A 14,377-nucleotide genomic window follows, 5' to 3' on the forward strand; every position below is an offset into this window, starting at 1 on the left:
TGGTGGTGAAAAGCCCTTTTAATATTGGCTGCTTTTTATCAGGTATTAATGTCCTAGGGTCATACTGGTGTCTTAAAGCCTAGAGCACTATGTTTTTTTTTTTCCTTTTTATCCTTTTTCCTACATAGAAAACCTCCCTTGGCTGAAGGAGTGGCTGGAGGTTTTGCCAAGACTCCAACCAGAAGTAAGACAATTAAAAGAGGTAGAGGAAGATGAGACAGGAGCCCCTAACCTAGTCTTGGGAGAGGGTAGCAGGGCAGTGCCATTCCTAGGGGAAGTGAGGTCAGCTGAGACCTAAGGAAGACCTGACGGGGCCAGGAGCCAGGGGAAGCCAGGGGGAAAAGCCTTCCAGGCAGAGAGGAGAGTGAGTGCGAAGACTTTGCAAGAAAAAACTGGCACCAGAATTTGTTTATCTCTTGGGGGAAAAATAGACAGACACAATATTATAAAAAGAAACGTCAAGGCCAGGCGTGGTGGCTCATGCCATAATCCCAGCACTTTGAGAGGCCAAGGCGGGTGGATCACTTGAGGTCAGGTTTATATATATATAAAAATTATCCGGGCATGGTGGCATGTGCCTATAATCCCAGCTACTCGGGAGGCTGAGGCAGGAGAATCACTTGAACCGGGGAGGCAGAGGTGGCAGTGAGCTGAAATCGCACCACTGCACACCAGCCTGGGTGACAGAACAAGACGCCATCTCAAAAAAAAAAGTCAAAATTCAAAACATTCACAGAAGTTTAAAGAAAAAAGAAGGTCATACATTATGATGTCTTCACAAGTTTACTACTAATTTCTTTCTTTTTTTTTTGAGATGGAGTCTCACTCTTTCGTCCAGGCTGGAGTGCAGTGGCGTGATCTCGGCTCACTGCAAGCTCTGCCTCCCGGGTTCACGCCATTCTCCTGCCTCAGCCTCCTGAGTAGCTGGGACTACAGGTGCCAGCCACCACGCCCGGCTAATTTTTGTATTTTTAGTAGAGACGGGGTTTCACCGTGTTAGCCAGGATGGTCTCGTTCTCCTGACCTCGTGATCCGCCTGCCTCGGCCTCCCAAAGGGCTGGGATTACAGGCGTGAGCCACCGCGCCTGGCCACTACTAATTTCTAATTTCAGACACACAAACCCGGCTCCATGCCCTATCAAGAACAGCGAGGTGCTCAGCCTGCAGCTGGGCCCTGTCTCCCACACACGCCGTGACTTTCAGGTCATTTTATTCCACTTCATTTATTAGGCCAGCAGGAAAATTTAAAACACTGCAAAAAGATGGTCTTTATAGTCAATGTGAATCTCAAAGGGGCTTGTTGCTTTAAAAGAAAAAGATCTCAAGTCTCATCACAACAAGTGACCACAGTATTTTCTGTGTCAAGTCTACGGATGATGATCCTAGAATTTAGCAACTTTAAACAAGAACCTGACCGGTGAGTTAAGGAAACAAAACTTTCATTTAATTTCTCATGCCAAACACGGAACAGGTCAAACAGTTCAGAGTAACGAATTATTAAAAAAAAAAAAAAAAAAAAAAGGCTGAGTGTGGTGGCTCCCATCTGTAATCCCAGCACTTTGGGAGGCCCAGGCAGGCAGATCCCCTGTGCCCAGGAGTTCAAGACCAGCCTGGGCAACATGGGGAAACCTTGTTTCTACAAAAAATACAAAAATTAGCTGGGCATGGTGGCACACACCTGTAGTCCCAGCTACTTGGGAGGCTGGGGTGGGAGAATGTCTTGAGCCTGGGCGGTCAAGGCTACAGTGAGCTATGATTGTGCCACTGCACTCCAGTCTGGGTGACAGAGTAAGACCCTGTCTCAAAAAAAAAAAAAAAAACAATGGTAGAGGCCAATCCACAGGTGCAGGCAGGGGGACAGGGGTTTGTGGTTTTCAAATAACCTGGTAATTTTAAGAATTAAAATGATGTCTTAGGTAAAAGACACGCTGCATGTTTATAAACCCAGATTTTCACATGCTTGCTTCTATTTGGCCTAAAAAATGCGGTAGGTAGGAAACACTAGGAAATCCAGCACATAAGGGATAGTTTATTCCAGGAAAAACCGAGCTTCACTTCTGCTGTGAAGCTGCGGCCTGAGAGTCAACTGCCATTTCACTCTTTTGTTCCCTAAGGAGATGGCAGGAGATGCACTGCTGTTCAAGGGACCTAAGTTATGGGAAAGGAAGACAGGGATGCCTTTAATCTAGTGATTTAACTTCATGTGCATTACTAGTACAAGTGAAAAATTCATATTCTATAATCACGCAAATATTACAAAACTAAATTGACTGTGGGGTTTGGATTATCTTTTTTGTTTTTTCTTTTTGAGACAGAGTCTCGCTCTGTCGCCCAGGCCGGAGTGCAGTGGCACGATCTCGGCTCACTGCAACCTCTGTCTCCCGGGTTCAATCGATTTCTTCTGCCTCAGCCTCCCAAGTAGCTGGGGCTACAGGCATGCACCACCATGCCCGGCTAATTTTTGTATTTTTAGTAGAGACGGGGTTTCACCATGTTGGCCAGGCTGGTCTTGAACTCCTGACCTCAGGTGATCTGCCCGCCTCGGCCTCCCAAAGTGCTGGGATTACAGGTGTGCGCCACTGCGCCTGGCCAGGTTTGGATTTTCAAAAGCAACTTCCACATTCAAGTGAAAAGTGTGAAAACTCACCTCCCAAAGGTGGGCCACGATCGGCGCATCTGCCCAGGAGTGTTCAGCGTTGAGGCCCATCTTCCCGTTTTTGAAGACAACAAACGTGAACGACTTGTCAAACCACCTACGTGAAACACACATGTGTGGAACTTAAGTGTTTAAAGAGGCAACAATGAGGAGACATTGCACCTCTCTGCTTCATCCTGGATGGACTAATTCACTTTGCACCTGTCCCTCTAACAGTGAGCAGACACTCAGTCTCTGTGGAGTGAGGGTGAAAGTACAAACAGGACACTGAATCACTCATTTCTTCCCTGTCCCAGACACAAAGATGAGCGCTTATATCCTGGCAGCCTGAAGTCAGGACCTGTTGTTATCGCAAGGCAACTGGGGAGAGGTGGGAGGCTCTTCCCGTGGGCACATGACCCCTTCATCAGCCAATCCTTGGCTCCACCCTGCAGGGGGCGGGGCTGGCCAACACTTTACAGATAAGAAAAAGAGGACTTGAGATAGCCACATGCCAACACCCTGGCCTAACCCTGTGCCTAGCCCTGTTTGCCACTCTCCCCTGCCTGAGTCCAGGGACCTGGCAGCCCTGCATCTCATGAGCATCTCCAAACAAAGGTGGTCATGCACAGAGGAGGGAAGAATCTCAGATTTGCAGCTCAGGCTGTGTATGTGTGATAGTTTTGGCAGAGGGAAGAAAACTGAAGGTTGGCCAGGCGCAGTGGCTCACATCTGTAATCTCAGCACTTTGAGAGGCTGAGGTGGGTGGATCACTTGAGATCAGGAGTTCATAACCAGCCTGGCCAACATGGTGAAATCCTGTCTCTACTAAAAATACAAAAATTAGCCAGGCGTGGTGGCACACGCCTGTAATCCCAGCTACTTGGGAGGCTGAAGGAGGAGAATCGCTTGAACCTGGGAGGTGGAGGTTGCAGTGAGCCGAGATCAAGCCACTGCACTCCAGCCTGGGTGACAGAGCAAGACTCCATTTCAAAAAATAAAATAAAATAAAACTGAAGGTTATATTTTTATGCCACCTTCTTTCTTAGCATTATAGATACTTAGGGGTGAGTGTCAGGCACACAGGGTATTTCTTCCAAGCTCATGGGCAAACTCCTGTCTCTCAGAAGGTAAGGACGGTACCTGTCGTAACATCGGCCGTGTAGTAGAGATTTGGCGTAGCTGTCCATTGACGTATCCGGGTCTTCACTTCTGTATCCTTCTTCAGTTTCATCTAACGTCACAAAGAACGCTGCTTTCTCCACAGCATCAAGAGACTGCTTATTTTTCCCACGTCCAAAATAGGCCTGACGACACCTGGCCCAGGGAACTCTGCAGTGAAGATGAAATACGATTAAAGGCAGCCCGACCTGCAGCGATGGAGCGTGATGTTTGAAATGACACAATCAAACCTTTGCAGTTTTTCAGAATTTCTCGAAGGAAAACTCCATGTTGATGATGTTCCCCATCTGAGACTGTTTGCTGGAAGGACTCTCACCTGCTCCTGGTCTCCAGACCACAGCATGGGGAGCGGTGGGTATTTTTTGTTCAATAAATGCTGACTAAATGAACGGCCAGATTGCAGGCTGGCCCCGTGGGCAAAGCCGCCAGGAAGCAGCAGACCCAGATCACCCTGTTCCACGCTCCCTGACACACCCTCCCTCCCCTCTACAGGAACCACCCTAGGTAAGTTCCGGCAGCCCAGGTCACAGTAAGTGCGTAAGAGTGCGTCCCTCATGCCAGGCTCTGCTCCAAACCTTTTCTGTGTACCAACTTACTGATCTTCTCAATGCTACTGTACCTATTTTTCAGATGAGAAAACTGAAGCACGGAAAGATTAGGTCACAGCTATTTTGAGGCAGAGTCGGAACCCAGGCCATCAGCCCCCAGGTGCATTCCACAGATGCCCATGTGACCCCTCCACAAGGAGGTCTCCGTGCCCGTCTTATTTGAATACACAGAACTGGTGTGATGCCCACTTCCTTCTTGGAAGACCCACCAGCTGGGCTTCCTCGAGTGCTCCCGGGTCCCTCTCACTCCAGCTCCTCCAGGACCCTCTGCCACTGCCCACCCTTCCAGATCGGGGCCATCTGGCTCTCTCCCCACCTTCTTCTCTCTAGGAGTGCTTGGCTATGGCGGCCCGCAGGGCGAATAAGCCTAGAAACACGCTAGGCCTCAGTGCACCCCGCTCGGGGAACAAAGGTGACGCTGACGGTGGCCGGCACGTACGGAGCCCTTCCTGTGAATGACTCCCATGGGTAAGATGCTGATCTGGCCCTATCCAGAGGGGGCATCGGGACCGAGGCGCCTACAGACCCACAGGGAGCCCAGGCCCCGCGGCGCCGGCTCAGGCTCCCCACGTCTCCTCCGCTGGGGATTCCAGGCTCTGAGAGGAGGGCATCGGATGAGCGCATCTTCACCCGAGATGCATCTCCTGCCGCCGCTCTTTCCAGCCTTGTCAACACCACAGCAGATACCGAACAACGCCGGCTTGCCCGCACACATCCTCCTCCATCCCGCTCCTGCTCCCAGGCCTGGCCCTCTTTCAGGCCCTCACTACTTGGGCCACCGAAAAGCATCCCTGTGTCCAGGGCCCCTCCTCCCTGCCCAACCAGAAGAATCTCCCACATTAACCTACTCATGCACCCCCGGCCCCACCCCACCCTACACCACCTGAAGCGGCACCCAGTTGCAGAATCAAGCTCAAATATGATTGGGTGCCTGGGACCCTCCCCAGCTTGGCACCGTGGCCCAGCTGCCCAGCCCACTCCACGGCTCCTGCCTGCTCTGCTACCCCGGGGCATGCGGCTCCACCCCCTGGACACCCACTGTCCTCCTGGTCTGCTCCCACCCTCTGCAAGACACAGCCCACCTGCGGCCCCTCCACGCAGCACAGAACCTCTCCTGATCTTTGCAGAAGGGGCCCCAACACCTGCCCCTCCCGCCTTACTCCCAGCGATAGCGTAGCAGTTGTCACACTGCTGGAACGCAGCAGCTCTCAGCTGGGGACAACAGTGTCCCCCTGATGCTGGGCAATGTCTGCGACACTTCTGGTTGTCACACAGGTTGCTGCTGGCAGTCGGTGGGCAGAGGCCAGGGCTGCTGCTCAGCATCCAACGCTACACAGGGCAGTGCCCCCCACAAAGAGGTACCCGGCCCTGAGTGTGCACAGCTCTGAGGTGAGAAACCCTCCTATACAATACACACCACACCTGCGAGAAAACCAAGCTCGGGCTGATTCGCTTTCTTTTTTATGTTTTGAGACACAGTCTCACTCTGTCACCCAGGCTGGAGTGCAGTGCCTTGATCATGGCTTACTGCAACCTCAACTTCCTGGGCTCAAGCAATCCTCCTGCCTTAGCCTCCTGAATAGCTTGGACTACAGGCACGCACCACCAAGCCTGGCTAATTTTTTGGTAGAGATGGGGTCTCACTCTGTTGCCCAGGCACATCTCAAACCCCTAGGCTCAAGTGACCCTCCTGCCTTGGTCTCCTAAAGCAATGGAATTATAGGCGTGAGCCACTGCGCCCGGCCTGATTCTTTTTCACTGAGGCAAGGAAATGTAACCCTAACACAGGGGCCTTGGTTTCCATTTGTTCTGTTTCCTAAATTAATAAATATGCCCACAGCCCCGTAAGAAAGGCTAATCCTGGCCAGGCATATGGTTCATGCCTGTAATCCCAGAACTTTGGGAGGCCAAGGTGGGTGGATCACTTGAGGTCAGGAGTTTGAGACCAGCCTGGCCAACATGGTGAAACCCTGTCTCTACTAGGCATGGTGGCGCACTCCCAGCTACTGGAGAGGTTGAGGCAGGAGAACTGCTTGAACCTGGGAGGCGGAGGTTGCTGTGAGCTGAGACAGTGCCATTGCATTCCAGCCTGGGTGACAGAGCGAGACTTCGTCTCAAAAAAAAAAAGCCTAATTCTAATCCTCACTTCTCCCTGTCCTGGACTCTGGAGTGTTTCCACACACATTTGCCTGACACACACACAGGGGTGGCCAGGGACCCCCCACCATGTCCCCATTGCTCTTGAGACCTGCCAAGCCGGGAGACCCCAGAGAAAAACAGAGCCGAGGTGGGGAGTCCCGTGCCAGGATTCCCACAGGCCCTGGTGGGGATGGGCCCCAGTGAGGAAGAGCGCCTCCACCACCCCCCAAAACAGGACAAGGGACCTAGGCTGCGCACCTGTCTCCTGCGGTGAGGGCTGCCAGCCTGGCCTCCCCGGGCTGAGGCTCCGAGGTATTGTCCAGGATCCTCTGCATCTGCTGCTCCATCTCCCGGGGCTTCAGCAGCCGCCCATCATGGTAGAGCCAGACCTTGAAGTAGCGTCCTCGATGGTACACGACGATGTGCTTGCTGTCTCTCATGTGCTGGATGGTGTCTGAGCCGGCCGCAGGTTGGAGACACAAAACCAAGAGTCCCAAGTTCAGCACGTGCTGAGACGACCGTACCCTGACTCTGCAAAGGGCATGGGAGTCCCTGCTCTGCGTCTCTCCAGGCAGCCTCAGGAACCTATTCCTCAAGACGTTTTAAATGATTAAGGACAGCTTGGAGTTAAAGCTCTGGATCGGAGAGGCCTGACTTCTGAGCTCAGCTTAGTCACTCATTAGATTATGACCTCAAACAAATTACCCGAGGCCAGGCGCAGTGGGAGGCTGGGAGTGGTGGCTCACGCCTGTAATCCCAGCACATTGGGTGAGGTGAGAGGATCGTTTGAGGTCAGGAGTTCGAGACCAGCCTGGTCAACATGGTGAAATCTTGCCTCTACTAAAAATACAAAAATTAGCCAGGTGTGGTGACATGCACCTCTAGTCCCAGCTACTCGGGAGGCTGAGGCAGGAGAATCGCTTGAAACCAGGAGGTGGAGGTTGCAGTGAGCCGAGATCACCCCACTGCACTCCAGCCTGGGTAACAGAGTGATACTCCATCTCAGGAAAAAAAAAAAAAAAAAGCATGCTTAGCAAAATGGAATATTATCATTAAAAAAAAAAAAACAAATTACCCAACCCTCCCTAAGCCTCTCCTCAGTAAAATGGAGGTCATATGTTCCCCATATGCACTGTGCAAGAATTAAGAGACGATATCCGTAAAGCCCATGTAAATAGGCATTCGATCCGTATAGTAACTTTTTATTAATTAATGACAATAGGGCAACTTAGAAAATATGCTGAGAAACATTCCGATAATTGTTTCTGAGAACCCGAGAAATGTTCTGAGAAAGAAAGTGGAAAATTACGAAACCAAGCCATTCCGTAAAAACTACTAAAACAGAGTAATTTAAGCTCCTCAGTAAGCTTAAACATCACAGAAATGTGATGAAGTACGTTCACTCCACGAATATTTATCAAGTCCTCTTAAGCACTGCTCAGTGGGGATGCACAGTGACAGCTGATCAAGGCAGATCGTCTAGTGAGGAAGACAAATAAATGCATGATTAAAAATAGGACAAGCTACCAGGAGCAGTGGCTCACCCTGTATTCCCAGCACTTCAGGAGGCCAAGGAGGGAGGATTGCTTGAGCCCAGGAGTTTGGGATCAGCCTGGGCAACATGGCAAAACCCTATCTCTACAAAAAATACAAAAATTAGCTGGGTGTGGTGGTGTGCACCTGTAGTCCCAGTTATTCTGGAGCTGAGATGGGAGGATCACTTGAGCCTGGGGAGCAGAGGCTGCAGTGAACTGAAATTGCACCACTGCACTCCAGCCTGGGTGACAGAGCAAGATCCTATCTCAAACAAACAAACAAAAACAAAATAGGACAAGTGTCACAAAAGGCTAGAAAGTGTAGGACTAGGACCAACCTAGCCTGGAGATGTGAGAAAGCCCTTCCACCCCCACTAAGGAAGTGATGTTTAAGAAGAACCCGGCCAGATGAAGAACAGAATTAATCAATATTATGCCCGATCTCATGTTTTTTTTGAGACGGAGTCTCGCTCTTATTGCCCAGGCTGGAGTGCAGTGGCGCGATCTCGGCTCACTGCAACCTCCGCCTCCCGGGTTCAAGCTTCTCCTGCCTCAGCTTCCTAAGTAGGTGGCATTACAGGCACCTGCCACCACACCTGGCTAATTTTTGTACTTTTAGTAGAGATGGGGTTTCACCGTGTTGGCCAGGCTGGTCTCAAACTCCTGACCTCAGGTGATCCACCCGCCTCGGCCTCCCAAAGTGCTGGGATTACAGGCATGAGACACTGCACCTGGCCTCCTGCTCTGATTTTTAAAATGTTTACCAAACCAAGGATGCAGGAGACCTGCTTTGGTTTGCTGAAGGGTTCCTACCAGAAACTTGGACCAAACGGCATTTGAAGCCTTCGCTTTAAAGTCACAAACAAGACAAGAATGCACACCATGACTATGTATATTCCACATTACACTCAGGATGCTGGCCGGGCAATAAAATAAGAAACAAGTAAAAGATAAAGGATTGAAAGGGAAATATCAAAGGTGTCATTTGCAGCTATGATTAGCATGTGGAAAATCCAAGAAAACCTATCAGCTGTTTAAGCCAATAAGAATACAGCTGGGTAGTGGCTGGGTGCAGTGACTCACACCTGTAAACCCAGCACTTTGGGAGGCCGAGGAAGGCGGATCACGAGGTCAGGAGATCAAGACCATCCTAGCTAATATGGTGAAACCCCATCTCTACTAAAAATACAAAAAATTAGCCGGGCATGGTGGCATGTGCCTGTAGTCCCAGCTACTCAGGATGCTGAGGCAGGAGAAGCTTGAACCCGGGAGGCAGAGGTTGCAGTAAGCTGAGATCCTGCCACTGCACTCCAGCCTGGGCGACAGCAAGACTCTGTCTCAAAAAAAAAAAAAAAAGAATACAGCTGGGTAGAAACACAGTTTATAAAAACCTTTCATGTTCCTATACCCCAGGGCACAGGCTGAACTGTGTCCCCCCATTCATATATTGAAATCCTAACCCCCAGCACCTCAGAATGTGGCCTCATTTGGAGATGGGGTCTTTAATGAGGTCATTAGGGTGGGCCCTAATCCTATGTGACTGTGTCCTTTTAAGAAGAGGAGTTTAGGGTTGGGTGCGGTGGCTCACGTCTATAATCCCAGCACTTTGGGAGGCCGAGGTGGGCAGATCGCCTGAGGTCAGGAGTTCGAGGCCAGCCTGGCCTACATGGTGAAAACTCGTCTCTACTAAAAAATTACAAAAATTAGCCAGGCGTGGTGGCGGACACCTGTAGTCCCAGCTACTTGGGAGTCTGGAGCAGGAGAATCACTTGAACCCAGGAGGTGGAGGTTGCAGTGAGCCGAGATTGTGCACTGCATTCCAGCCTGGGTGACAGAATGAGACTCAGTCTCAAAAAAAAAAAAAAAAAAAAGGGAGACTTTAGGACACGCACAGAGGGATGACCACGTAAGGACACAGGGAAGAGATGGTTATCCAAGGAGAGGGGCCTACAGAAGGAACCACCTCTGCCAACACCTTGATGTTGGAGTTCCAGCCTGCAGAATTGTGAGAAAATCGCTGTCTTGCTTAAGCCGTGCAGTCTGTGGTATTTGTTATGGTGGCCTGGGCAAACTTACACGCTGCATAACCAACACCTTGAAAATATTCTTGAAAAGGAACAAAACAATAAAAGTGCTTAGAAACAGCTCGAACAAATGATGTGCTGCAAGGACTTCATGGAGAAAAGTATGACATTTTATTAAAATCGCCTAAAAAACAAAAAAGGGGCCAGGCACAGTGGCTCATGCCTGTAATCCCAGCACTTTGGGAGGCCGAGGCGGGCGGATCACTTGAGGCCAAGAGTTTGAGATCAGCCTGGCCAACATGGCAAAACCCCGTCTCTATTAAAAATACAAAAGTAAGCTGGGTGTGGTGGTGCATGCCTGTAATCCCAGCTACTAGGGAGGCTGAGGCAGGACAATCGCTTGAAACTGGAAGGTGCGGTTTGCAGTGAGCCAAGATTGCACCACTGCACTCCAGCCTCGGCAACAGAGTGAGACTCAGTTTCAAAAAAACAAAAACAAACAAACAAACAAAAGTAAAAAAAAAAAAAAAAAAAAAAAAGCAGAATGTCTGGAATATATAAATACTTTCTACAAATCAATAAGGAAAAGATACACATCCATTTTTAAAAAATATACAAAATATAAGAACAATATTCTCAACAGAAGAAACCCAAATGTCCAGTTAACATTTTAAAAGTTGCTAACCCTTTTGGCAAAAATGAAGGGAAAAGGGTATTTTATAGATTGCTGGGGACGTGAAAGTTGGTAAAATCACTTTGAGGGTAATTTGTCCATGCCAGTAAGACTGGAAATGTCAACCAGGGCAGCCGGCAAGCCAATTCTAGGTGCCTGCTCTACAGACTGTTTGACCAATGCATGCAGGGGAGAAACATACACAGAATTCACTGAGCGTCACTTAGAAAGGAAAACAGGAAAGAAAGAAAAGCGTTCACATACTGGAATTGTTTTGATACTATAACGAAGTACATCATAAATGTCAATAATGATTGTACTGGAGTGGTAAGATTAGGGCTGTATCTTCTGCTAAAAGATTTTCTAAATTTTGGTAGTAATTCCATTTTATAGCAATATATATTATTAAATAGAAAAATGCCAGAACTTAAGACCCTTAAGATAAGTCTATACCTCTTTCCCTTTTTTTATTTTGGGGAATTTGAATGGTCTAATTAGTGAGGATTGTGACTGATGGGATCCTCCGGTGGGGATGTCTGAGAAAGTGGGTGGGGCTTTGCCCGATGATCACCAACGAATGGCATTGCACGTGCTCATATACATTTACCTTTCTTTATTTTTTTTTTTTGACAGGGTCTTGCTCTGTCACCCAGGCTGGAGTGCAGTGGTGCGATCTCAGCTTACTGCAAGCTCCTCCTCCCAGGTTCAAGTGATTCTCCTGCCTCAGCCTCCTGAGTAGCAGGGATTACAGACATCTGCTATCACGCCTGGTTAATTTTTGTGGGTTTCTTTTAGTAGAGGTGGGGTTTCACCATGTTGGCCAGGATGGTCTCGAACTCCTGACCTCAAGTGATCCACCCGCCTCGGCCTCCCAAAGTGCTGGGATTACAGGCGTGAGCCACCACTCCCAGGCTTTGTATTTACATTTCTTTCATTCCCAGTGATGTTGAATGCTTTTCTATAACTCCTTAAACATTTCTCCTTCCAGGGGTGCCCATCATTTCCTTTCCAATTAGGATCTTCATGGTTTTCTGGCAGATTTATAAGAACTCTTTACATATTAACCCTGTTCTCTGTTGTGAGCACTTACCCTCAATTTGTTATCTACCTTTTAAAACAGTTTGAAGTATTTTTGAAATATAGAAAACTAAAATCTTTACATGACAATATTTGGATTTTTCCGTTGTTGTAATGAGTTGAGCTGTTTCTACCCAAAAGATATGTCCATGTTCTAGCCCTGGTACCTGTGAAAACCTTATTTCTTAATCGGAAGTAGGGTCTTTTTTTTCTTTTTTTGAGACAGGGTCTCATTCTGTCACCCAGGCTAAGTGCAGTGGTGTGATCACAGCTCAGCTCACTACAGTCTCCACCTCCCAGGCTCAAGTGATCCTCCCTCCTCAGCCTCCTGAGTAGCTGGGACCACAGGTACACACCACTATGTCCGACTAATTTTTGTATTTTTTGTAGAGATGGGGTTTTGCCATGTTGCCCAGGCTGCTCTCAAACTCCTGGGCTCAGGTGATCCACCCACCTCAGCCTCCCAATGTGCTGGGATTACAGGCATGAGCCACCACATCTGGCCTGGAAATAGGGTCTTTGCTGATATAATTCAATATTAAGATGAGGTCATACTGGACTAGGGTGGACCCCAAATCCAATGACTGTTGTCCTTGTAAGAGAGACACACACACACAGAGGTGAGAGCCAAGGTGACATGGAGGCAGAGATCAGAGTGATATGCCTACAAGCCAAGGAGCACCTGGACCCCCCCAGAAGCTGGAAGAGGCATAAAGGCCTCCCCCAGAGCCTTTGAAAAGAGCACGGCCCTGCTGACACCTTGATCTCGGACTCTGGCCTCCAGAGCTGTGGCAGAAGAAACTTCTTTTGTCTTAAGACATCCAGTTTGTGGTCATTTATTCCAGCAGCCCCAGGAAACTGACTCAGGTATCATGCTCAGAATGGCTGTCCAGGTACACTAAGTAACTAGGTTTTATCCCAGCATTTCCCTTGTTTATTGATTTATTTTATTTTTATTTCATATACATATTTTTTTGAGATGGAGTCTCACTCTGTCACTCAAGCTGGAGTGCAGTGGCATGATCTTGGCTCACTGCAACCTCCACCTCCCAGGTTCAAGCAATCCTCCTACCTCTGCCTCCTGAGTAGCCGGGATTACAGGTATGCACCACCACACCTGGCTAATTTTTGTATTTTCAGTAGAGATGGGGTTTCACCATGTTGGCCAGGCTGGTGTCGAACTCCTGACCTCAGGTGATCCACCTGCCTTGGCCTCCCAAAGTGCTGGGATTACAGGAATGAGCCTTTGTGCCTGGCCTCCCTTGTTTATTTTTTTAAACACATACATATTTACCTCCTGGAATCACTGTCAGTGTAGGCCGCATGTCTCAAACTTAAATGATCTTAAGGATGTCCCCATACCACGGTGCTGACTGACAGCAGGTGACAGCCTCCCCAGGACACCCTGACCCACTTCCCTTTGGGGACACTGCCTGCCCTGGTCAGTGAAGGGGCAACTGCCCCTCCAATCAGGGAGACACTGTGAGAGGATGGAGAGAACCAACTTCACTTTCCTCCACCTCGTTGCCCAACTGCCCCAGGACTGCTGTTGGCCAACACATCTGTTTTTCACATGTTGAGCTACAGTACAATGGACGACAGTGTGTGGCAGGAAGAGAGGAGGGGTTTAGCCAGAAACACTGTGAAATCCGTGAACACACATGGAGTGGGTTCTTTTTTGTTTTTTTGAGATGAAGTTTCACTCTTGTTGCCCGGGCTGGAGTGCAGTGGCACAATCTCAGTTCACTGCAACCTCCACCTCCCATGTTCAAGTGATTCGTCTGCCTTAGCCTCCCAAGTAGCTGGGATTACGGGTGCCCACCACCATACCTGGCTAATTTTGTATTTTTAGTAGAGATGGGGTTTTGTAGACCAGTAGTAGGCTGGTCTTGAACTCCTGACCTCAGGTGATCTGCCCACTTCGGCCTCCCAAAATGCTGGGATTACAGGCGTGAGCCACCGCGCCTGGCCAGAATGGGTTTTTAGAGAACCTCTGAAGGCAGGATCAGAGGAAAGGGGAGAATCTGCTTAGGAAAGCCCACTCAGAGGCCAGCTTTTGTGCAAGGATACAGCAAAGGCTCCCCAATGACCACCACAGTGCACACTACTGACTAGGGCTTGGTCTGGAATATTGACTAGGGCTTGGTCTGGAAGGACCGGGCTGCAACAAGACACTCAAAACTGCAGGTCAGGCCAGGCATGGTGGCTCACATCTGTAATTCCAGCACTTTGGAAGGCCGAGGTGGGACGATCACGAGGTCAGGAGATGAGACCATCCTGGCTAACACGGTGAAACTCCGTCTCTACTAAAAATATAAAAAATTAGCCGGGCGTGGTGGCAGACACCTATAGTCCCAGCTACTCGGGAGGCTGAGGCAGGAGAATGGCGTGAACTCGGGAGGTGGAGGTTGCAGTGAGCCGAGATCGCGCCACTGCACTCCAGCCTGGGCAACAGAGCGAGACTCCCTCTAAAAAAAAATAAATAAATAAAATTGCAGGTCAGC

General features: G+C 49.3%; 1 protein-coding gene across 10 annotated transcripts in view, besides 1 other annotated feature; it reads right to left on the reverse strand.

Moving 5' to 3' along the window:
* The window catches only part of CPT1A (carnitine palmitoyltransferase 1A), an 89,658-nt gene that overhangs the window by 23,373 nt on the left and 51,908 nt on the right, over positions 1-14,377 (reverse strand). For 9 of the 10 annotated variants that reach the window (NM_001031847.3, NM_001440360.1, NM_001440363.1 and 6 more), the window contains 3 exons: positions 6,823-7,018; positions 3,779-3,967; positions 2,648-2,753 (listed from right to left, as the gene is read on the reverse strand). In NM_001031847.3, the coding sequence (NP_001027017.1) occupies positions 2,648-2,753; positions 3,779-3,967; positions 6,823-7,018 (491 nt within the window). Of the gene's footprint in view, positions 1-2,647; positions 2,754-3,778; positions 3,968-6,822; positions 7,019-7,750; positions 8,044-14,377 lie in introns of those variants that run through there. The other variant, NM_001440367.1, reaches the window with a different exon arrangement.
* Positions 3,575-4,774: an enhancer, noted in NCBI's record as "BRD4-independent group 4 enhancer chr11:68549035-68550234 (GRCh37/hg19 assembly coordinates)". NCBI's record gives its function as "activates an origin of replication core promoter dependent on BRD2, P300/CBP, MED14 and CDK7 cofactors, and independent of BRD4, by STARR-seq in HCT116 cells {active_cell/tissue: HCT116}" and the evidence as "EXISTENCE:reporter gene assay evidence [ECO:0000049][PMID:35650434]".

Source organism: Homo sapiens, chromosome 11 (genome assembly GCF_000001405.40).
Source record: "Homo sapiens chromosome 11, GRCh38.p14 Primary Assembly".
NCBI classification, from domain to species: Eukaryota; Metazoa; Chordata; class Mammalia; order Primates; family Hominidae; genus Homo; species Homo sapiens.